Source organism: Homo sapiens, chromosome X, assembly GCF_000001405.40.
Source record: "Homo sapiens chromosome X, GRCh38.p14 Primary Assembly".
Classification (NCBI taxonomy): Eukaryota; Metazoa; Chordata; class Mammalia; order Primates; family Hominidae; genus Homo; species Homo sapiens.
In genome coordinates, this window is record NC_000023.11 from 87,142,809 (window position 1) to 87,169,426 (window position 26,618).

General features: G+C 35.7%; 1 pseudogene; it reads left to right on the forward strand.

Moving 5' to 3' along the window:
• Positions 1-3,924: 3,924 nt before the first annotated feature.
• LOC124905267 (uncharacterized) lies at positions 3,925-3,996 on the forward strand (annotated as a pseudogene).
• The last annotated feature ends 22,622 nt before the right edge of the window (positions 3,997-26,618 follow it).

The window sequence follows — 26,618 nt, forward strand, 5'->3', positions numbered from 1 at the left end:
TTTCTCATTTTTATCTTATCTTTTCACACATTTCTCATATTTTCCATCTGTTTTTTACAAAATGCATCAGAAAATTAATTGCAGCAATACTTATAGGAGAAGTATTTGAATCAAACCAAATATCCATCAACAGGCGTATGGAAAAATATGCTACTCAATGTTCATATTAAGTAAAATTCTACAACTATTTATTTTGTTAGAGTGAAAAATATATATTGATAGAGAAATATTAGCATATTTATAGGCAAAAGGAAGTGACCAAAAATATTTCTTTTATAATCTACGTTTGGGAAAAATAGGCACATTTATGTTTAGAAAAACACAAAAAATGTTGTACACCAAATAGTTAAATTTGCTTACTTCAGAGCTGCAAAATTGGAGAGAAAAATATGAATCCATTAATTTTCCCTTTTTAATATGTAATGTGTATTAATTTCAATGACATTTTATCAAGAAGAATGGCTTCTGTTTAAATTATGTAATTCATATTGTCAAAAATAAAGTCAGATTGTAGTCCTCAACAATATTTCCAAAGTGTACTTCCATGGCCATTGGAAGCCAATGGAATTAAAGCAAATAAAATTGAAGTCACTAATACATTAAAAAATCTGTCTACAATTATTTCATTATACGTATGTTCTTTGGAACAGATGCACAATTATTGCATTGAAATTTAATCTGCAAATTTGCTCTAAAATAATGAAAAGGTAACAGAGAAACTGTTATAAAGTAGAGCATAAACCTCAAATAAAGACATATGGATGCTATGAAAACTTTCTCCCTCCTTTTCAAAATATCAGGTTAATATTGAGTACTACATGATATCACCCATCAAATTATTTCACCGTAACCTATCCTGTTAAAATGTTTTAAATTTTATAATTTACAGTTGTTCTATAAATTCTTTTCTAGAGCTCAAAATAGGAAGAAATATGAAATTGAAGTTATGAAGTCAAACAAATTCTGAGTATCAGCAAGAAATATTTTGTGTTTTGCATTTGTAACTGTGTGCTCAAAAACAAACAGAGGAACAAAAAGGCGCATGCTATTTGCTAGGGAAAATGTTAGAATATTTTTTCAGTTATCCAGCCAAGTGCTCTTTATCATTCTTAAATTGTCACTAGTTCTCTGAAACAGTTTTTTCTTCTCTGAATAAGGGCCAATTTTTAAGTCCAGATTCCTGAAGAAAATTAAAACCTTGTCAAAAATCTGATACATTTCTTTTTTCCACTTCGTCTGTATAATCCACATTGATATACCAAAATTTTGTAAATTCTTCACCTGTAGATAATTAAATGCTCTTAGTATTAAAGAAAAATTTTTTTTCAGGGCAACTAACAAATAAATACTTCTTTTTATTCCAGGTGTTCTGTAACCTGATGGTTTTCTGAAAACTAGAGAGCCCTACACCTATGTCTTTTACAAAAATTTATCTCAACCAGCTGGGTGGCTCACACCTGTAATCCCAGCCCTTTGGGAGCTCGAGGTGGGCGGATCACCTGAGGTCAGGAGTTGGAGACCAGCCTGGCTAACATGGTGAAACCCGTCTCTACTGAAAATACAAAAATTAGTTGGGTGTGGTGGCACACGCCTGTAATCCCAGCTACTCAGGAAGCTGAGGCGGGAGAATCTCTTGAATCCAGGAGGCAGAGGTTGCAGTGAGCCCATATCACGCCACTGCACTCCAGCCTGAGCTACAGAGAGAGACTGCGTCTCAAAAAAAAAAAAAAAAAAAAAAAAAAAAAAAATTCTGAAGATTCTTTAAAATAAATGGCTTCAGACATGAACCACTGTTTCTATGTGAGTCCACTATCAAAAGCTGTGCTTCACTCGAAATATCTCAGTGTTAGAGGTTGTATATCTCATTAATTTTGCCTTATCATTGTGTAATTCACAATTCTAGGGATAACTCCAAACTTTCTGAATCAGTTTCCAGATAAATGAACCATTACTGGATCAGAGGTTTCACTTTTTGTTTGTTTTTTCTTTTTTTTTTTTTTAGAAGTTGATGCCTTTATGTGATGAAAGCTGTGCTTTCTTCTTCAAAAGGGATGTCGTATATTAAAAGATATCAAACATAGCTCTACAAAGTATTATCTCAAAACACTTGGATCTACAATACTGAATATTAAAGGACAGCTCACTTTACCTGCCACCCACTTTCTTGCTGTCTGGAATGTTGACAGTAGGCCAAACAGACACAAGCATCATTTCTTGCTGGTTTTCTGCATCCCCTCCTATCTGCCGGCACACCCATTACTAACTTGCCAATTCAGCTTCTTGGCACTTGTGACAGTATCTGTAGCAACCAGCATGTACATATTCTTTGATTTTTTACAATGACCATGCTTTTTATTTTACGTTACAAAAATGTTATGGTGCCAAAGCTGCAGAGGCATTTTAAAACACGTATTTATTATTACTTCCAACCACAAAACATCTGAATCATGCTATATTTTTAACTTAAATTTTGTATGTGGTATAAGGGTCCAATTTCATAATCTTGCATGAAGATATCAAATTTTTCCAAGACCATTTATTAAAGAGACTATTCTTTCTTCATTGTCTATTCATTCACCCTTGTCAAAGATCAGCTGACTGTGAATGTGTAGATTTTTTTCTGAGATCTCTATTCTTTTCCATGTGTCTATGTCTGTTGTTGTGCCAGTACTCAACTGTTTTGACAAATGTACATTTTTAATATGTTTTGAAATTAGCAAGTGTGATGCCTCTCTCTGTATTCTTGTTCAAGATTACTTTGGCTATTTGGGGGCCTTTCTGATTCCATGTGAATTTTAAGATTATTTTTTATATATCTAAAAAGAATACCACTGGGACTTTGATAGGGATTAAAGTAAATCTGTGATACCTTTGAGTGGTATGGACATTTTAACAATATTAGTTATTCAAATCAATAAACATGGAGCATCTTTGCATTTACCTGTGGTTTCTTTAATTTTTTACATAATTCTTTTATTATTTTCAGTGTAAAAACCTTTCACTTCTTTAAGTTTATTCCTAAGTATATTTTTTGCTATTTTAAATGGTATTGTTTTGTTAATTTTTTCAGATAGTTCATTACTACTGCATAGAAACCACTGATTTTTGTATTTTGATGACATCTTTGCATGAATTAAAGACTTACACTTAAGAGGTGAAACCATAAAACGACTAGAGGAAAACATAAGAAGAAAGATTCTTGACATTGATCTTGACAATAATTGAACATAACATCAAATGCAGAGGCAACAAAAGCAAAAAAAAAAATAGACCAGTGATACTACATCAAAATAAAAAACTTTGGCACAGCAAAGGAAACAATCAAGAAAGTGAAAAGACAACGTATAAAATAGAATAAAATATGTGCGAACCATATATTTGATAAGGGAATAATATCCAAAATATATAAGGAACTCATAAACTCAATACCAAAAAAAACCCTATTAAAAATGGATAAATGACCTGAACAGACATTTCTTGAAAGAAGACATACGAATGGCCAATAAGTATAAAAAAAGGTGTTCAACATCACTAATTCTCAGAAAACTGCAAATCAAAACCACAATGAGATATTACCTCATGCCTGTTAGAATGGCTACTATCAAGAAACAAAATATAGAAAGTGATGGTCAAGGTGTGAAGAAAAGGGAACTTTTCTATGCTGTTGTTGGCAAAGTTGGTGCAGCTGTTATGGAAAACAGTATGGAGGCTCCTTAAAAAGTAAAAAATACAACTACCTACCATATGATCTAGCAATCTCACTTATGTGTATATATCCAAAATGATTGAAACCAGGATCTGGAAGAGACATTAACACTCTCACATTCATTGCAGCTTTATTCACAATAGCTGAGATATGTAAACAATCTAACCGTCCATCAATGGATGAATTGATTTTTTTAAATGTGCTATATATACAACATTGGTCAATGATGTAATGGCATGTATTAGCTGAATCCAAAGTTGAAGTGAATTCTAAAATTACACCAAGACCTTGGGGGAAAAAAAGAAAAGAAATGTAAAAAAAAGAAAACAAAAGTGCTGTATCAACGACATAAACCTGTTGGCCCGGCACAGTGGCTCAAGCCTGAAATCTCAACACTTGGGAGGCCAAGGCGGTTGGATCACCTGAGGTCAGGAGTTCTAGACCAGCCTGACCAATACGGTGAAACCCTGTCTTTACTAGAACTACAAAAATTAGCCGGGCTTGGTGGTGTGCACCTGTAATCCCAGCTACTCGGGAGGCTGAGACAGGAGAATCGCTTGAACCCAGGAGGCGGAGGTTGCGGTGAGCTGAGATCATGCCACTACACTCCAGCCTGGGTGACAGAGCAACACTCTGTCTCAAAAATAAAATAATAAAACAAAATAAAATAAAATAAAATAAAATAAAATAAAATAAAATAAAATAAACCTGTAAGACATTATGCTAAATAAAATAAACCGAGCACAGAAATAAAAATAATGCATCATCTCTCTTATGTGTGAAATATGAAATAATCAAACTCATAAAAACAGATAGTAGAATGATGGTATCAGAGGCTTGGCGGAGAGGGAAATGGGAAGACTTTGGTCAAAGAGTACACATTGTCAGTTATGCAAGATGAATAATTTCTGGAGAGCTAAGGTATAGCATAAGCACACTCACCATAGTTAACAACATTGCTGGTATATTTAAAAGTTTTTAAGAGGGTAAACCTTAAGAGTTCTTGCCACACACACACACACGCACACACATGAAAAAAATAGAAAAGGAAATGGTAACTATGTGAGGTGATTGATATGTTAATTAATTTGATTGAAGTGATTATTTCACAATATATGCATATATCAAAATATCAAGTTGTTCATGTTAAATATATACAATTTTTGTTAGTCAATTATATCTTAAAGCTGAAAACAATTTAAAAGTTTTAAGTAAGCAAAAAAGTTTTGATACCTTTCAAAATCCTCACGTCCAATTACTATCACATAGGGAATTAGACATCAACATATACATTTCTGGGAATACAAATATTCAGTCCATATCATTCCACCACTTACCTCTTAAAATTCATGTCTTTCTCATAGGCAAAAGAATTGCATTCTATCCCGACTGCTCCAAGAGTCCTAACTCCTTCCACCATCAACTTTAACATCTGTAGTTCAAAGTTTCATGTAAATATTATCTAGAACAGATATGGGTGAAACTCAAGATACAATCCTGAAGCAAAATTTCTCTCCAGATGTGAATCTATGAAACCAAAAAAGTTATATGCTTTCAAATGCAGTGATGGGATGGGCACGGAATAGACATTCCCATTTTGTAAAAAAGATTAGGGAAGAAGCAAGGGATAACAGGTTCTACACAAATCTAAAACCTATAACAGCAAACAATATGAGTTCCTAGAACTCAATGATAATCCTCTTTGGCTCTACGTTCTGCCTTCCAGACTCACTGGGGTGGTGATTCTGCCTACAGGACTCACTGAGGTTGGATTATGCCCCCACAAATATGAGTAGCCCTACCCTCATGCCTGTGCTATTAGTAGTCCCACTCTTTGAAACCAAGGTGGAGGTAATCCTGCTCCCCAGGTTCAACACTCTGGATCTGTGGCTGGAGTGGCAGCCTTAATACAGAGATCATCTTTGGCATACTTCTCTTGTCCTGAAGAATAGCACACATTTTACAGCCAAATAGCTCTATAATCTGGTCCTATAGTATCTAAAAAGTCTGATGGCCTTCTTTCATCCTATCATGTCTTCCTTCAGTTCAAATTAGCAGTGTTTCTGCTGGGGTGGCTGATTAAGACTGTGCTTCACACCCATACTGATCCTTTTATCAAACAGTTGTTGGGCAATTTGCAATATGAATAGGCTGCAATATGGATAGGTTGCATATGTATAGGCTGAGAAATCTCTAAGTATTTTTCTGCTCATTTTTGTTTAACAACTCCGTCTTCAATATGTTTCTTTCTTCTTACATTTTATTATAATCAGTCAGGAGTAACCAAGCTGTTCCTTCAATACTTAGCTTAGAAATCTCAGCTAAATATCTATCTTTATTTCTTGCAAGTTCTATATTCCAGAAAGCACTAGAACATGAATACAATTCAGCCAAGTTCTTTGCCACTTTATAACAAGGATTACCTTTTCTCCCTTGTCTAATAACCTTTCTTATTCCCATCTAAGACTTCATTACATTGACCTTCACCATTCATATTTCTACCAACATTCTATACATGATTGTTTGTGTTCTTTATGAAAATGGGAGCTTCTTCTCCAGGTCTCTATGTCCTGTCTAACACCCACCAGAATTGCTTTGAATAGTTCATTCAGGGAAATATTGGTTTTATTTAGCATGTATATCAGTACTCTTTCAGCCTTTACTTATTATCCAGTTCCAAAGTAACTTCCACATTTCTCCCATCCAGAGCATTTATTTTAGAATTCAGTTCAGTATAGAAAAATGAAGATGATGCAACCCATTATTTTTGAGTTTATAAATGTATGGGATAAAATGTCTCACCCATTCAACATAACTAATTGTGAAGTTAAAAATCTAATTTGTTATTTAAACACTAATGAACAGACATTACAGAACCAAAGACATCTCCTTAGCTAACAGCCTGTACTAAGAGTACTTTTCTTAGTTTTGGTTTCAGCTGCAATAATACAAAATTTTTAAAACTATCTCCAGTCATTTTGTCACTTAACATCATGACTCCAAAAATAATAAAAAGCAAAAATATCCAGGAATCAGCATACTAATAAATCTCATAGGTATAAAAATATTATTCTTTTCAAAGCTAATGACTAATACTATTCAAATAAGTATGGTTTTTAAAACAGAAGTTTGCCTTTCTGAAGCCATTTAATGGATATAACACTACAAAAAAATACATCCAAGTCAACAGGACATTTTTCAGATTTTAAACTTTATTAATATCAGTACACAATCCTGATTTCCCATTTTTAATTTTTTTCAACTTTTATTTTAGGTTCAGGGGTAAATATGTAGGTTTAATAGGTAAATTGTGTTTCACAGATGTTTGGTGTACAAATTATTTTGTCACCCAAGTAATAAGCACAGTACTTTATACGCAGTTTTTCCATCCTCACCCTCCTCCCAGCTTCCACCTTCATGTAGGTTCCAGTCTAGGTTGTTCCCTTCTTTATATCCTAATGTACTCAAAGTTTAGCTCCCAGTTATAAGTGAAAACATTTGGAATTTGGTTTTCTGTTCCAGTGTTAGTTTGCTTAGGATACTGGCCTGCTGCCTTTTATGTCCAAAACGGTATTTCCCAGGTTGCAGCTCCATCCATGTTGATGCAAAGGACATGATCTCATTCTTTTTTATGGCTGCATCGAATTCCATGGTATGTATGTATGTATGCATGTGTATATGTGTGTGCATGTGTGCATATGTGTGTGTACACATACATATATATACATATATGTGTATATGTATATATTTGTGTATATATATGTGTGTGTGTATATACATATATGTGTACGTGTGTGTGTGTATACACATATATATGTATATAACATTTTCTTCATCTAGTCTGCCATTGATGGGTACTTAGGTTGATTCCATGTCTTTGTTATGGTTACTTGTGCTGTGCTGAACATGTATATGCATGGGTCTTTATGATGGAATGATTTGTATTCCTTTGGGTATATACCCAATTATGGGATTTCTAGGTCAGAAGGTAATTCTGTTTTATTTGAGAAATCACCAAACTGGTTTCCACAATGACTAACCTAATTTACTTTCCCATGATCATTGCATAAATGTTCCCTGTTGTCCCCAAACATACAAGCATCTGTTACTTTTTGACTTTTAATAATAGCCATTCTGACTGGTGGGAGATGGTATCTCATTGTGGGTTTAATTTGCATTTTTCTTTCTTTTTTTTTTTTTTTTTTTTTTGCCTATTAAACCAGTTTATTTGTTTCTAAAGAGTTTAATGATACGGGTTTGCTATTTCCATTAGAGCATCCTTTTTCTGGCCATTCGGACAAAATAAAGTTAGCAAAGCCCTCACAGCACCCTATGAAAAATCTTTGCTCTTATACAGGATTAGATGCAGACCTCATCTTGACCTAACATCTGTAACCAGGTAAGTGTATGAGTAGGAACACAGACAGCAGTACTGTATCAGCAAAATCTATCATATTATTTGAAATCACTGGATATAATATTAATTATAAAGTGTATGGTTCTCTCCAGTTGTTCACATACCAAATCCCAATCAGTTCTCAGATTCAGATAGATGTATCTGCAATTTCTCCAAGCAGCTAAGAAAACCTTCAATAGTCAGTTCTGCTTGGTCATGGTATGACTTTTTTTTTTTTTTTTTAGATGGAGTCTTGCTCTGTCTCCCAGGCTGGAGTGCAGTGGGGCAATCTCAGCTCACTGCAACCTCTGCCTCCCGGGTTCAAGCAATTCTCCTGCCTCAGCCTCCCGAGTAGCTGGGATTACAGGCACGTGCCACTGCGCCCGGCTGATGTATGACTCTTTTATCCAGTAATCAAAACACATACGTACATACACACACATACCAGCCCAAAAGAGGTGTTAAAACATACATATTACACGTACTTTTTGGAGGGGTGAGGTGGGGTGGGGTGGCTTGACAAGGCACCAAGAGGTAATTTTGAGATAGATAATTTGCATTTTTCTAATGATTGATGATGTTGAGCATTTTTTCCTATGCTTTTTGGCTGCATTTATGTCTTCTTTTGAAAAGTGTTTGTTCATGTTCTTTGCCCAGTTTTTCATGGGATTGTTTGTTTGTTTGCTTTTTGTAAAGTTGTTTAAGTTCCTTACAGATGCTGAATATTAGACCTTTGTCAGATGCTTACTTTGCAAATATTTTCTCCCATTCTGTAGATTATCTGTTTACTCTATTGATAGTTTCTTTTGCTGTGCAAAAGATCTTTTGTTTAATTAGGTCCTTTTTGTCATTTCTTTTGTTCTTATTTTAACTGATTTTTGGTATCTTCATCATGAAATCTTTGCTACCTTCTATGTCCAAAATGGTATTTCCCAGGTTATCTTCCAGAGTTTTCATAGCAAAGTTTTAATTCCTCTTGAGTTAATTTTTGTATATGATGAAAATAAGGAATCCAGTTTAAATCTTCTGCATATGGCTAGCCAGTTATTCCAGCACCATTTAATAAATAAATAATCCTTTCCCCATTGCTTCTTTTTGTTAATTTTGTTGAAGATCAGATGGTTGTAGGTAAGAGGCTTTGTTTCTGAGCTCTCTATTCTGTTTCATTGGTCTATATGTCTGTGTCTGGTTTTATACCATTACAATGATTGTTTTGGTTACTATAGCCTTGTAGTATAGAAGTATAGATTGAACCCAGTTAATATAATGCCTCCAGTTTTGTGATGTGTGTGTGTGTGTGTGTGTGTGTATGTGTGTGTGTGTGTGTATAGGGTTGCCTTGGCTACTTGGGCTTTTTTTGCTTCCATATGAATTTTCAAATAATATTTTTCTAATTGTGTGAAAAATGTCATTGGTAATTTGATAATGATAGCATTGAATCTGCAAATTGTTTTGGATAGTATGGCCATTTTAATAATATTGATTGTTCCTATTCACAAACACAACATGTTTTTCCATTTGTTTGTGTCATCTCTGATTTCTGTAAGCAACATTTTGTAATTCTCATTGTAGATGTCTTTCACCTTCTTGGTTAGCTCTATTCCTAGGTATTTTATTCTTTTTATTGCTATTGTGGGTGGGATTGCATTCTTGACATGGCTCTCAGGTTGAACAATGCTGGTGCACATCAATGCTACTGATTATTGTACATTCATTTTGTATCCTAAAAGTGTGCTGAAGTTGTTTATAAGCAGCTTTGGGGCAGAGACTGTGTGGTTTTCTAGGTAAAGAATCACATCATCTGCAAACAGGAACAGTTTGATTTTCACTGTTCCTATTTGGATGGCTTTATTTCTTTCTCTTTCTTGATTGCTCTGGTTAAGACTTCCAGTATTATTTTGAATAATAGTGGTGAGAGAGGGCATCCTTGTCGTTTTCTGGTTTTCAAGAGGAATGCATTTAACTTTTGCCCATTCAGTATCGTATTGGCTGTGGGGCTGTCATAGATGGCTCTCGTAATTTTGAAGTATGTTCCTTCAATGTTTCGTTTATTGAAGGTTTTTAATATGAAGTGATGTTGAATTTTATCAAAAGCCTTTTCTGTATCCACTGAAATAATCATGTGGTTTTTGTGTTTAATTCCATTTATGTGGTGAATCACATTTATTGATTTGTATATGTTGAACCAATCTTGCATCCCAGGGATAAAGCCTACTTGATAGTGGTGAATTCCTTTTTGTTTTGTTTGTTTCTATGTGCTGCTAGATTTGGTCTGCTAGTATTTTGTTGAGTATTTTTGCATCTATGTTCATCAAAGTTATTGGACTGAAGTCTTCTTTTACGTTGTGTCTTTGCCAGGTTTCGGTATCAGGATGCTGCTGGCCTCATAGAATGTGATAGAGGGGAGTCCTACCTTCTCAGTTTTTTGAAACACTTTCAGTAAGAATGGTACCAGTTCTTCTTTATGCATCTGGTAGAATTTGGCTATGAATTCTTCTGGTCCTGGGCTTTTTCTGGTTAGCAAGCTTCTCATTACTCATTCAAATTTGGAACTCATTATTGGTCTATTTAGGGATCCAATTTCTTCCTGATTTAATCTATGGAGGTTGTATGTCTCCAGGAATTTATCCACTTCTTCTAAGTTTTCTATCATGTGTGCATAGAGGTGTACATAATAGTCTCTGAGGGTTTTTCTATTTCTCTGGGGTCAGTGGTAACATCCCTTTTATAGTTTCTGATAGTGTTTGTTTGGATCTCATCTCTTTTTTTTCTTTATTAGTCTAGCTAGTGGTCTATCTATTTTACTAATTCTTAAAAGAACTAGCTCCTGTATTCATTGTTATTTTGAATGTTTTTTGCATCTGAATTTCCTTCAGTTTAGCTCTGATTTTGGTTATTTCTTGCCTTCTCCTTGCGTTGAGGTTGGTTTGCCCTTGTTTCTATAGTTCCTCTAGTTGTGATGTTAGCTTGTTAATTTGAGATCTTTCTAACTTTTTTGGGTGGGTGTTTAGTGCTGTGAACTTCTCTCCTAACACAACAAACATTTATTTCCCATAGATCTGCAGGCTATGAAATTCAAGAGAAAGGTACTGGCAGACCCAGTGTCTGGATATTTCCCACCTCTTGGCTTATAGACACATTCTTTCTTGATGTTTCATCACATGGCTGAGAGACAAATACAGAGAGAGAAAGAGAGAGGTTGTAGGGAGACAGATAGAGAGAGAAAGAGAGAGGGAGAGAGATTGTATATTTGTCTCTTCTTAAAAGGGCACTAATTCAATTCACGAGGCTTCCATCATCATGACCAAATCAGCTCCCACAGCACCTCCAAATATCATACCACTGGGAATCAGGCTTCAACATATGAATTTGGAGTGTACACATCCAGCCCATAACAACCTCCAGATATAATATTTAAAAGTATTTGCTTTCTATATGTATTAAAATGATCATGTTTATTCTTTATTCCCCCAAAATATAAATTGCACTTATTTTTGAAAGCTAAGACAAATTTATATTTTGGCTTATTAAGTGTTTTTTGTTTGTTTGTTAACTTTAAATAGAAACTGTCCTCTAATTTTTATTTATTCTACTGCTCTTATGAGGTTTTGTTTTTGAAGATGTAAGTTAGAAAGGGTTTTGTTGCCCACTATCTAAAGAAGATATACAGTTCATGTTACTTCTTTCTTAAATATTTGAAGAAATTTACCAAGAATGCCTTCTCATCGTGGAGTGCTTTGTTTCACTTTGTTTTGTTTACCCTGATAAAACTTTTGATTATAGATTAAATATATTTATTTGAAATAAGAATATTAATATTTTCTATTTGTTCTGTGTCACTCTTCATAAGTGGCATTTTAAGGAATTTGCGCATTTTATCCAAATATTTAAATCTTTTTGTAACAAAGATGTTTATAATATCCTCCTATCCTCCTGTCCATAGGATCTATAATGGTCTCCCATTTTTCATTTCTCTAATGTAATGAGCAATTTGGGTATATTCACCTTCTCCCTCTCTATATTTTTTTCATCTTTCACATTAGTGGTTAATAAATTTGATTAATCTTTATAAACATCCAATTTTTGCATTTGTCAATTTTATTTATTTTACATTTCTTCATTGATTCTTCAGAATTGTTTTAATTATTCCATCTTTTACCATTTAACTTGTCATTTTTATTTTCTGTTACTGTAGATTTAGTGACATATTTCCTTGACATATTACTGTGTAATTTACTAATTTTATCACTTTGCAGGTAAATACATTACAATATTGAATACCATTTATGCACTGTAAATCTTTTATGTTATTGTTATGAAGTATTTTAATTCTCCATATATTTTAAGCCCAACAGCACAGTAATATTATTATTATTACTGCTTTCTAGAGTAAATATTTATTTAAGTTAACCAGATATTTACCCTTTGATTATTCTATGTATCTTTATAAATCCCCATGCTTCTATGTGAGATCATATTTTTTTACCTGAATAAATCATTTTTAACATTTTCTTTTAGTGAGAGTCTACCTGTGAGAAATGCTCTTGTGTTTATTTGTCAAAAATATATTTATTGTACCTTCATTTTGATAATTTTTTGTGCATAGAACTCTAAATTAGGCAGCTATTTTTTCCTGAATTTTAATATGTCATTTTATTGTTTTCTGCTCATTCTTGTTGAAAAATTAGTTGCCAGTATTATGTTACTTATTAGATAGTAGCATGTCTTATACATTCCCTTTTGTTGCTTTAAGATTTTTTCATATCTTTGGTTTTTATCAGTAAGGTACTTAGATTTGGCTTAATTTATATTTATTCTCTTGGTGTTCAGGAGCTTCTCAAATCTATGGATTGATATTTTACTGAGTTCAAAAACATCTTAACAATAATTTCTTCAAATGTTGCTTCCAAATCATTCTTCCTCTATTCTTCTGGGACTATAATTATATGTATTTTTGACTTTTTTTTTTAACTTTCTGTGATATTTGCTATTTGCCTATGTTATCTTACACTAATGTTGTCTTTCATTGTTTCTAATACTATTTCACTCATCTACAGAAAACATGATTTCAGTGACTTAATTGTACAGCTCTAAAATTTCAATGGTGCTTATTTTTACACATCTCATTTTTCTCATGAAATTGTCTACATTGTATATTTAAAATATTTATATTTATTGTAAAGTCTATAACTGATCATTTCAGTATTTGGATTATCAATGTGTTTCTTAATCTATTTTTTCCTTTTGGATATTGTTTATTTCTTCCAGATTTTTAGTATGATATTTGGTAAATATTTATTGACCATAATGCATGCAAATATTTGAAGACTCCAGATAATTTTATTTTATTCCAGAGAGGATTTATATCCATTCTGACTAACATTAAGAATATTTCATATCCCTTTGATCTAGCAAAAATTGAAAAAATTTAAGGTGAAATTCTCATCCAATAAGAGCTTTCTGGACATTATTATATCCTTCAGGATACTCAGTGGAGGCTTGGTTTAGAGTCCCTCCTCCTAGGAAGATTTTGAACACTGAAATACGTCTGTTCCGTTTCATAAAACTGCTCGAACTCTATGCTGTGACTATGTACTTTTCCCCTTAGCCCTTGTTTTTGTACATCTTATGAGTTAACAAATGCTCTGATTGTAAACGTTGTGGATAAATTTGGCTCACCACAAATCTTGGCTTAGTTGCTCTCCAATGTCTTCAAACACTTGTTTTAGTATTGTTTCCCTTTTTTTGCTTGTTCTCAGCAGATGTATTGCTCAGAATGAAGCTACATCGTAATAGCTGCAAGGAGAAGTCCGTCTTTACAAAATTACATATTATATAATAACTACGATAATATACTATATATTGTCTTCTTGACATCAAGAATGAAATAATGATCCTTAATAAACTAAAACATTGAGTTTACCTGCATTTACTTTCTATTTTTATGCCTCCCATTTCCTTGCAATTTAGGGCTTATATACTTTTTACTTTTTAATTTTTTGGTACAAGTTAAGTATACATATATATATATATATATATATATATATATATATATAGTGTACATGAAATATTTTAATACAGTCACACAATGCATAACAATATCAAGGTAAGTGGGGTATTTATTGCCTCAAACACTTATCATTTCTGTGTGTTACAAACATCCCAATTGTACTATTTTATTTATTTTAATAAGTATTATTTATTATTGTTAACTATAGTCACCCTATTGTGCTGTAAAAAACTAGATCTTATTCATTCTAACATTATTTTTGTAACCATTAACCATACCAAACTGCCCCCGTCCCTCACCCACTACACTTAGCAGACTCTGGAAACAATTCTACTTTCAGTCACCATGAGTTCAATTGTTTTAATTTAAGGCTTCCAAAAATAAGTAAGAACCTGTGAAGTTAGTCTTACTGTGCCTGGCATATTTCACTTACCATAATGTCCTCCAGTTCCTTCTATGTTGCTGAAAATGATGGAATCTTATTTTTTATGGCTGAATAGTGCTCCATTGTATATATGTACCATGTTTTCTTTATCCATTCATTCATGCATGAACACTTAGATTGCTTCCAATTCTTGCCTATTTTGAATAGTGCTGCAATAAACATGGAAGTGAAGATACAGCATTGATATATTGATTTCCTTTTTTGGGTTGATGTGGGCAGTATATACCTAACAGTTAAATTGCTGAATCACATGATCATTCTATTTTTATTTTTTTGAGGAACCTCCATACTGTTCTTCACAGCAGCTGTAGTAACTTACATACCCTTCAACAGTGTGCTAGACATCCTTTTTCTCCAGATCCCTGTCAACATTTATTATTGCCTGCTTTCAGATAAAAGCTGTTTTAACTGGGGTGTGATTATATCTTCTTGTAGTTGTGATTTGCATTTCTCTGATGATCAGTTATGTTGTGCACCTTTTCATATACCTGTTTTCCATTTGCATGTCTTCTGTTGATAAATGTCTATTGAAATCATTTGCCAATTTTAAAATCAGATTATTATATTTTTTCCTAGAGTTTTTCAAGCTCCTTATATATTCTGGTTATTAGTTCTTTGCCAGATAGATGGTTTGCAAATATTTTCTCCCATTCTGTGGACTTTCTCTTCACTGGGCTGATTGTATCCTTTGCTGTACAGAAGCTTTTAAACATGATGTGATCTCATTTGTCCAGGTTTGCTTTGGTTGCCTGTGTTTGTGGGGGTATTGATTAAGAAATATTTGCTCAGACCAATGTTCTGAAGATTTTCCACAATGTCTTCTTTTAGTCATTTCATAGTTTGAGGTCTTCATTTAAGTGTTTAATCCATTTTGGGTTGATTTTTGTATATAGTGATAGATAGGGGTCTAGTTTCATTCTTCTGCGTATGGATAGCCAGTTTTCCCAGAAGCCTTTATTGAAGAGATGGTCCATTCCCCAATGTATATTCTTGACACTTCTGTTGAAACTCATTAGGTTGGTGCAAAAGCATCAGGAGCATATTGTTTAACTTCTATGTGTTTGTACAGTTTCCAAAGATTTTCTTGTTATTAATTTCTAGTTTTATTGCATTGTGGTGAGAGAAGATACTTGGTATAATTTCAATTGTTTCGATTTTTTAAACTCTTGTCTAGTGGCCTAGTATATGGACCATTCTTGAGAATAATCAGTGTGCTGGGGAGAAATATGTGTATTCCGCAGCCATTGGATGAAACGTTCTGTAAATATATATTAGGTCCATTTGGCCTAAAGTGCAGATTAAATCTGATGATTTTCTTTCCGTCTGAATGATCTGTACAATGCTGAAGGTGGGGTGCTGATGTCTACAACTTTTATTTTATTGGGGTCTATCTCTCTTTTATTTCTGATATTATTTGCTTTGTATATCTGGATATCCCATATTGGGTGAGTATGTATTTACGATTATTATATCCTTTTGCTGAATTGACCTCTTTATCACTTTATAATGACATTCTTTTTACTTTTTATGGTTTTTGTCTCAAAAATTATTTTATTTGATATAAATATAGCTTCTCCTGATCTTTTTTACATTTCCATTTGCATAAAGTATTTATTCCATTCCTTTGTTTTCAGTCTATGTGTGTCTTTATAGGTGCAGTTGGATTGTTGTAAACAACAGATTGTTGGGTCTTGTTTTTTTAACTGATTCAGCCTTTCTATGTCTTTTGATTGGAGAGTTTAGTCCATTTACATTTAGTGTTATTATTGATAAGTTAGGACTTAAGATGAGCCTTCCAAATAACACCTTATAACCAATTATTTTTAATGAATGATAACACTAACTGCAAAGGCAAACAAATAATCTAACAAACAAGCAAAGAGAAAACTAATGAAAAATCTACACTTCAACTTCATCCACTCTGCTTTTAATAGTTTTGATACTTCAAATTTTTTCTTATTATGATATGTCTTTATAACTTGTTATAGTTATTATTTTGATCAGTTCATATTTTAGCCTTTCAGGTTAAAATATGAGTGGTTTACACACAACAAATATTGTTATAATAGTTTGTGTTTTTCTGTGTACTTACTATTACCAGTGAGTTTTGTATCTTCAGATAACTTTTTATTGCTCGTTAATATTCTTTTCTTTGAGACTGTAGAACTCCCTTTAGCATTTCTTATAAAACAGATCTGGTGTTGATGAAATCACTCAGCATTGTTTGTTTGGAAAAGTGTTTATTTCTCCTTCATGTCTGAAGGATATTTTCACTAGATATCTTATTCTAGGGTAAAAGTTGTGTGTGTGTGTGTGTGTGTGTGTGTGTGTGTGTTTCCCTCTTCTTCAGTGCTTTAAATATGTCATACCATTTCCCACTGGCCTGCAAGAATTCCACTGAGAAGTCTGCTTCCAGACATGTTTAAGCTCCATTCTATTTTTGTTTCTTTTATCTTGTTGCTTATGGAATACTTTCTTTATCTTTTTCCTTTGGTATTTTGATTATCAAACGCCTTGTGGTAGTCTTATTTGGTTAAATCTGTTTGATGTTCTATAACCTTCTTGTACTTGAATATTGACATGTTTCTCTAAGTTTGGGATATTCTCTGTTATTATCACTTTGAATAAACTTTATTCCTCAATCTCTGTCTCTACCTCCTCTTTAAGACCAATAACTCTTAGATTTGTTCTTTTGATGTTATTTTTTAAAGATATTTTCAATATGCTTTATTCTTTTTTATTTTTTCTCTTCTGACTTTGTGTTTTCAAATTGCCATTCTTTAAGGTCACTAATTCTTTCTTCTGCTTGATCAATTCTACTATTGAGAGACTCTGATGCATTCTTCAGTATGTCAATTAAATGTTTCAGCTTCAAATATTCAGCTTCATTTTTAAAAACTATTTTATTCTATTAGTTAAATTTATCTAACAAGATTCTTAATTCCTTCTCAGTGATCTTTTGAATTTTGTTGAGTTTCCTCAAAAAAGCTACTTTAAATTTTGTGTCTGTAAGTTCACCCATCTCTCTCTCTGTCTGGGTTTGGTCACTGGTGACTTCTTTAGTTTATTTGGTGAGGTCATACTTTCTTGGATGATCTTGAAGCTAAGGAATGTTCATCCATGTCCAGGCATTAAAGAGTTTGGGATTTACTCTACTCTTCACTATCTGGGTTTGTACCAGTCCCCTTTGGAAGGATTTTCCAGTATTCAAAGAGAATTGAGTGTTGTGATTTAAGTCTCTGGTCACTGCAACTGAATCTGCATTAGAGGGCACTGTAAGTCCAATAATGTTGTGACTCTTGCAGATTTTTAGAGATACCTCCTCGGTAGTCTTTATTAAGATCTGAGAAAATTTTTGGATTACCCAACAGAGACTCTTGTTCTATTTCCTTACTTTCCCACAAACAAACAGAGTCTGTCTGTGCTGAGTTGCCTGGAGCTAGTGGATGAGTGACACAGGCACCCCATGGCTACCACACTGGAACTTTGCTGCGTAAGACCTGAGGGAATACAGCACAGGGTATTGTTAATACACATCGTGACCACTGCCTGGCTACTATCAACACAAATTCAAGGCCCAAGCCCTCTTCATTCAGCACATGGCAAGTCTTGTTAGGCTTTTGTCCTTTCTTTCAGGGCATCGAGTTTCTTTCCAGCCCACGGCAGGTCCAGATATGCCATCCAGGAGCCAGAGCCTGGAGCCAGGAACCTCAAGAATCTACTTCTCCTCTAATCTACTGTGGCTAGGCTGGCACTCAAGAAACAAGATAAATTTGTTCTGATGCATTCATCTCCTTTTATCAAGCGGAAAGGGTCCCTCTCCATGGCCATCACTGCCCCATGGTCATAGCACGTTTTGCCTGGCTACTGCCGCTGTTCACTCAATGCTCACAGGCTCTTTAGTCAGCTTGTGGTGAATGCTGCCAGGCCTGGGTATCTCCCTTCAGGGCAGCAGGCTCCCCTCTGATCACAGGCTGGTCCAGAAATGCCATCCAGGGGCCAAGGCCTGGAATAGGGAACCCCAAGAGCCTGCTTGGTGCTCTACCCCACTGTGGTCAAGCTGGTTCCCAAGCTGCAAGACTAAATCCCCTTTATATTTCTCTCCTTTTCTTAAACAGAATGCATCTCTACCTGTGGCCTCCATAGCTAGGAATGCACTGGGTCACACCTGAAGCTTGCATATTCCTGGGTCTTATGCAAGGCTCATGGTAAGTACTACCTTGGCTACCACTGATGTTCATTCTTGGCCCAAGTGCTGTTTAGTCAGCAGGTGATAAATCATGCCAGTACTAGGTCCTTCACTTCAAAGCAGATGGTTTCTTTCTGGACCAATATGTGTCTAGAAATGTCATCTAGGAGCTAGGGCCTGGAATGGGAACCTCCAGATTCTGCCTGGTTTCTTATTCTACTTTGGCTGAGTTTGTATCCAAGTTGCAAAACAAAGTCCTATTTATTCCCTCATCTCCATTCCTTTTTTCTCTACACTGACTGTCTGGAAAATTCCTGTAGGTGACTATAATGTTTCTGCCATTGATTTTTGCCCATCACACACTAAAATTGTCATTCTCTTTCCATGGATTAAGTACTCTGTATATGGTCATACCTACAAGCTTAGGGAAGGATATTAATACAACTTCGGTGGGTGATGTGGGAATCTGGGCTACTTGCTCATGCATCTTATTTATGCTGATTTTTTTTTTTTTTTTTTTGCTTGATTCTGGATATGCCTTCTCCATCTTAACATGACTTCTCCTGAGCTCATCTCCCTTTATGTCTTGGTATGTTCAACACAACCCAACTCATAATGAAAAACTATAAAAGTATGGACACTTGGTGCTCCATGCTTAAAACTTCTGTCTACCAGGGCCAAGTACCATGTCAAGTGCTATCTTTCAAATGACATGTAAGTATCTGCTGTGGTTGAAATAGCCTGTCTCCAGAGTCCCAGGGGTCTGCTTTGTGATTCTCACTCTAGTGCTTGCCATTAACTACAGTCTATGTCATTTTTATTGGGTATAAGGCATCATATGTCTAAAGTTGCAAGGACATTTGCACCACAGCCTGGACCTGCTGTGAAGACTCTTTCTGCATTAGATGCCAGAGAAAGATGGAAGCAATTAGTGTCACCTAGTTTATGGGCTAGGTAGTATTTCATGGAATAGCAAGTGTAGACTGGAGAACAGGGACCTACTGGATTTTGTGCTTTCTTCTTTTTTTGCAGGAGCTATAAGGTGCAGGTATTTGTACTTTACTATTTTGGGGGTTGGATATCCACACATGCCCCTGATAATTTGTTTTCTAAAAGCTTCAATTAAATGACAGGTTCTAGCATTTTTATAGAATTTATTTCTCATCTCCTGAAGAACATGTTGCTTACCAATGCCTTTAGTGGATTAACCACCTCTTGCTCATCCTGCCCAATTATATGTCATTATAATGTGGCAATATAATTTGTGGGATATCTGAGTGGCTCTGATCTTTGTGAATATATTATGACAGAGGAAGGAAAACATAGCAAAACTGTAAATAATACTGTTGTCCATCTATATGAATACAAACTGCTTTTGATCATCTTTGCTGACTGGGATTAAAAATAATGTAGTTGCCATATCAGTGGCAGCGTACCATGTACCCTAATACTTATTAATATCCTGTAGCAATGATAACATAATCACCCAAGCAGCTGTAATTGGGGATATTCATTCATTAAATTTATAAAAATCTTCAGTCATTTTCCTGGATCCACCTATTTATTCAGAGGCCCAAACAGCAAATTAAATGGATATATAATAGGGATCAATATCACTACTTTTTTTTATGTAGGGGGCTTAAAGATGGCAGTAATCTTTGCCATTTTCTTAGGAGGCAGTTGTCTTTTCTATTTACTAACTTTGACTGTGTGGAGGTGGGCAGATTCAGTGGTTTCCATTTAGCTATCCCTCCTATGATAGTTCTTACACCATAGGCCAAGGACTCGGTGTGGGTGTTATCCCAACTACAAGTATACATATTCCAAATATACACTCAAAGACTGCAAAAATGACTACTAGCATTTCCTGTAGAACCAGTGAGCCCATTATAAGACAGGCTTTAGTCAGGACCCTATTTATTACTTCTTTAGTCAATGGATTATGGATCTGAAAGTTGGCTTAGGTCCCAAAACTGAACAAGAACTTATACACTTTTATTGGATCTTCCTTAGTCTCTTGCTCCACCATTGTACCAGTTCTTTGTTGTTGATGCTATTGGGCAACACAATTGTTTGCTTTATTTTGCCCTTAGAGATGCCTTACATTGGTGCACATCTTTAAAAGTTACTACTGAACATGTCCCTTTCACTATTTCATCAATATTTTGGTCATTAAAGTAATTGTTTTCTTGGTTTCCAGCAGTTAATTTATCTAGTAACTATGTTAGTATCCAGTCATTCTAATAGATATCAATAAGCTTAGTTCTGTTCTCCTGTTGGTAGTCCTATACTGAAAACTTCTTAGTGATGCTGATGTCACTCTCACTAGCACATTGCTTATAGCTTTGGTGAATGTTGTACCTTCTGTACCGTTCTATGAAAGATAACCCTGTTGTGAGTCTTCCAACCCAGCAAAATATATCCATTCCAATAAGTCTACTTCCATAAACACCATTATTCCTTCCTTTATTGTTTGCTAGGGCAGCTCAGGCATTTCTACTTTACCTAATTTTGATGATGTCCATTGCTTTTTATAGGCTACTTAGAGTCATATAAGCTGAGAGTTTGCCCCATTTACTAGTGTCCTTCCCAGGAGATTAAATCATATAGTCTGAGGAGGTACCTTAAATTCAACGAATTCTTGCTTATCCAGTTTTTAACTTTAAGCACCTTTAATCAATCACCTTCAAACTTTAATCCCAGTGGTATTTCCCTTGTTCTAAGTAGTAAAATGTTAATTCTTACAGCTTCATCAGTGTACAATCTTTTTTCCTTCATTATCTAGACCAGTGTTTTTCAACTAGGTTCATTTTTGAATTTAATTATAATTATCAGCCTAGCAGCCAGGAGAGGAGGTGGGGCTGATTTATGAAGATGTGTACATCTTACCTTGCAAGATTTCAACATCTGTAGAGTCTTCCAGCCTGTGGAAAGTATAAGCTTGCTTCTATGGAATACTATTTTACCTCTGCAGACTCTTGTTTCAGGGGATTCTGCCATGGTCCCATCTGGTGTTCCCATCCTGTTTCAAGGTCCCAAATTTTTTTAAAAACAGAGCATACGCTAGCATCAAGACTTTATTTGGATAAGGTTTATGTGATTCTGGAGCTCTACAACTCTATCAAATCTTCAGGTTGTTGCTTGATTGTATCTACCCTTTCACTGCCAAAGATAAGGACTTCCTTGTCAACTACCAAAGAACCCCTGGGGCTCTCTCACACTTAGTTTTTGTTTTCAATGTTATTTTTATTGACTTTACTTTGTGTTAAGAGCTGTCAGCTTTTTATTAGTCCTCTGAAGACCATAAATACAGTTTAACAGCAGTCAATAAATCTCTCTTTCTTTGTATACATTATTTCATCCATATTTTTAAAACGTAATACTCTTTATATGTGCGATCACTGTCCTTTACCAGTAGGTTTTCCAGGACACCTTCAATTAGTGATTATAACACCACCATAGTGATAGGCCGCCTCTAAGATGGCCTCTCAATGATCTCCTCTTCCTGTTATTTATGACCTTGTGTAATCCACTTTCCTTGAATAACTTGTTTCTAAACAATAAAATACACAAAGTATTGCAACTTTTCTGGTGCTGTCGCTGAGTCTTAAAAAGATCATTCTTTCACTCCATAAATCCAGATACTTGAGTATAAAAAGGAATATGTAAGGTCAGTGAATTTCATGAGCATGGGTCCATTGCTTCACTTCATTTGTGGTCACGTGAGTTCATTGATCAGAAGCAATGTTGTGTGGAATATCATGATGGTGAATAAAGTATTCGATAAGCTCATGGATGGTAGGTTTGGGAAAAGAATTGTGTGCAGGGAAGGGAATTCTGTATTCCGACTCTCTACTCCAGTAAGAACAAAATATTTCATCTTCCATGGTGAGAGCAGCCCAAAGTAATCAACCTGCCACCTGGTAGTTTGCTGATTACTCTGATGCATGGTGCCATATAAGGCACACAAAGTTGATCTCTTCTGCTGACATATGGACACTCAGTAGTGACTGTAATCAGGTTATCTTTGGTGAGTGGAAGTCTGTTGCTGAGCCCATGCATAGCCTCCAATTTTTTCACCATGGTCAGTTTAGTTATAAGCCCACTGGCAATGGCAGAAATAGTTGTGGTAGGAGGCTGACAGTTATTTGAATAATGAGTCATCATATTCACTTGATTATTGAAATTCTCGTAAATGTCACTGTTTGGTAAGCATTCACGTGACATACAAATATCTTCACATTTTTCCCCCATTCAGAGAGGTTCATCCACATACATTGTCCCAGGGATTCCTTGTAAACAACTTTCTAGTCATGTTCCTCCTAAAACCTGGACAATCCTGACAAACCACTTACCAAATTCCGTGAATCAATATATAATCACACATCTGGCCATTTCTCCTACTAACCAAAGTAAACAACCAACTATGTAGGTGCACTGTATGGAGTTATGCCTTCTGCAAAGATTTTCATTCATGACAGTACTTCAGAGATGTTCTAGGAAAAGGCTATAATGCTGCAATTGTCTACCTTTTGGTAGTACCCACAAGTCATAGAGAACTATTTGTAAACCAGGCCCAAGTTTTCTCTTCCTTGGTAAACTTCTTGTAGGGAACTTCCTAAGAGGCCATAGAATTGGGCTGGGAAGAAAATGATAGTATATTAATAGTAGGGAGCATGAATATTTGGACCTTTACCTTGTGTTACTTGCTTGTGCCCTTAGGGCCTGCTCAAGCCCGATCTCATAAATATTACTTCCATTTGATAATGCAGGGCTGTTGTTCATGTGCACGTATATTAGTCAGTTCTTGCATTGCTATAAAGAAATACCTGAGACTCAGTAATTTATAAAGAAAAGAGGTTTAACTGGCTCACAGTTGTATAGGAAGTACAGGGAACATAGTGGCTTCTGCTTTTGGAGAGGCCTCAGGAAGCTTCCCATCATGGCAGATGGCAAAAGGGGAATGAGACATGTCACATGGTGGAAGCAGGAGCAGGAGATGGTGGGGGTGGGGGGGGCAGAGGTGTTACACACTTTTAAACCAGATCTTGCAAGAACTCACTATCATGAGAATAGTGTCAAGGAATGCTAAACCATTCCTGAGAAATCACCCCCATGATACAATCACTTCCCACCAGGCCCTACCTCCAACATTAGGGATTACTATTTGTGTGGGGACACATAACCAAACCATATCATTCCTCTCCTTGCCTCTCCCAAATCTCATGTCTTTCTCATATTGCAAAATATAATCATGTGGACACAGGAAGGGGAATATCACACTCTGGGGACTGTTGTGGGGTGGAGGGATGGGGGAGGGATAGCATCGGGAGATATACCTAATGCTAGATGACGAGTTAGTGGGTTCAGCGCACCAGCATGGCACATGTATACATATGTAACTAACCTGCACAATGTGCACATGTACCCTAAAACTTAAAGTATAATAAAAAAAAGAAAAAAAATATATATATAATCATGCCTTCCCAATAATCCCCAAAGTCTGAAATAATTCCAGCATTAACTCAAAATTCCAAAGTCTTATCTGAGGCAAGGATAGTCTCTTCCACCTATAAGCCTGCAAAATAAAAAACAAGTCAGTTATACCCAAGACACAGTGTGAACACAGGCATTTGGTAAACATTTCTGTTCTGAAAGGGAGAAATCAGCCAAATGAAAGGAGCTGTAGGCCCATGCAAGTTTGAAACCAAGCAGGACAGTCATTAAATCTTAAAGCTCCAAAATAATATTTTTTGACACCATGTCCCAAATCCACGGAAAACTGGTAGAAGTAGTGGGCTCCCAAAACCTTGAGCAGCTCTGTCCCTGTGGCTTTGCAGAGCTCAGCCCATATGGCTGCTCTCACAGGTTGTTGTTGAGTACTTGCAACATTTGCAGAGCTCAGCCCATATGGCTGCTCTCACAGGTTGTTGTTGAGTACTTGCAACATTTACAGGCACAGAGGGAAAGCTGTCAGTGGATATACCATTTTGGGATCTGGAAGACAGTGGCCCTCTTCTCACAGCTCCACTAGGCAGTGCCCCAGTGGGGTCTCTGTGTGGGGGCTCCAACCCCAAATTTTGCCTCCACACTGCCCTAGTAGAGGTTCTCCATGACAGCTATGCCCCTTCAGCAGGCTTCTGCCTGGACACCCAGGCTTCTCAATATATTCTCTCAAATCTAGGTGGAGGCTTACAAGCCTCAATTCTTGCACTCTAGGCACCTGTAAGGTTAACACCATGTGAAAGCCACCAAGGATTATGGCTTGTACCATCTGAAGCAGTTGTCTGAGCTGTGCCTGGGCCCCTCTGAGCTGTGGCTGGAGCTGGAGCAGCTGGATGCAGGGAACATTGTCCAAAGGCTGTGCAGAGTAGCAAGACCCTGAGCCTGGCCCAGGAAACATTTCAGTCCTCCTTGGCTTCCAGGCCTGTGATGGGAGGGGCTGCCAGGATGGTCTCTGAAATGCCTTTGAGGCCTATTCCCCATTGTCTTAGCTATTAGCACTTGAATTCTTCTTACTTATGTAAATTACTGCAGCCTGCTTGAATTCCTCCCATGAAAATAGGCTTTTCTTTTCTACCACATGACTGGGCTGCAAATTTTTCAAACTTTTACACTCTGCTTCTCCTTTAAATAGAAATTCCAACTATAGGTCATTTCTTTGCTCACACATATCAGATAGTTGGTTAGAAGCAGCCAGATCATATCATGAAGAGTTTAATGCTTAGAGATTTCTTCTGCCACATACCCTAAATTATCACTCTCAATTTTAATGTTCCACAGATCCCTAGAGCAGGGGCACAATGAAACCAAGTTTTTTTCTAAGGCATAACAAAAGTGACCTCTGCTTCAATTCCCAATAAGTTCCTCATTTCCATTTAAGACCTAGTCAACCTGGACTTCACTTTCCAAGTCACTATTAGTATTTTGGTCAAAACCATTAAACCAGTCTCTAAGAAGTTCCAAACTTTCCCTCATCTTCTTGTCTTCTTCTGAGCCCTCCAAACTCTGTGCCCAATTCCAAAAGTTTCTTTCACATCTTCAGGTATCTTCACAGCAACGCCCCACTTCTCAGCACCAATTTTCTGAAGTAGTCCATTCTTTCATTGCTATAAATAAATGCCTGAGACTGGGTAATTTAGAAAGAAAAGAGGTTTAATTGGATCGTGATTCTGTAGGCTGCACAGGAAGCATAGTGGCTTCTTCTTCTGGGGAGAACTCAGGAAGCTTCCAATTATGGTGGAATGCAAAGAGAGAATGAGGCACCTTTCATGGGAGGATCAGGAGCAAGAGAGTAAGAATTGGGGATGGGGGGCACTACACACTTTTAAACAACCAGATCTCAAGAGAATTTACTATCAGGAGGACAGCATCAAGGGGATGTTGTTAAACCATCCCTGAGAAACCACCCCCATGATTCAATCACCTCCCATCAGGCCCCACTTCCAACATTGGGGATTACAACAGAACATGAGATTTGGGTGGGGACACATATCTGAACCATATCAGCATGCATACTATTCTGTCTTGAAAAATAAATTCTGTCATTTGTGACATGAGTGAAGCTGGAGGACGTTATGTTAAGTGGAATAAGCCAGGTACGGAAAGACAAATATCACATAATCTCCCTGAAGTGTGCAATCTGAAATAATTGGTCTCATAGAAATAGAGAGTAGAAGAGTGTTTACCAGGAGCTGGAGGGGATGTTGGGAAGGTGTTTGTCAAAGGATACAAAATTTCAGTTAGATAGTAGGAATAAATAAAGAGATCAATTGCACAGCATTGTGACTATTGTTAATAACAACATATTGGATTCTTAAAAATTGCTAATAAAATAGATTTTAAGTCTTTTCACCACAAAAATGATAAGTA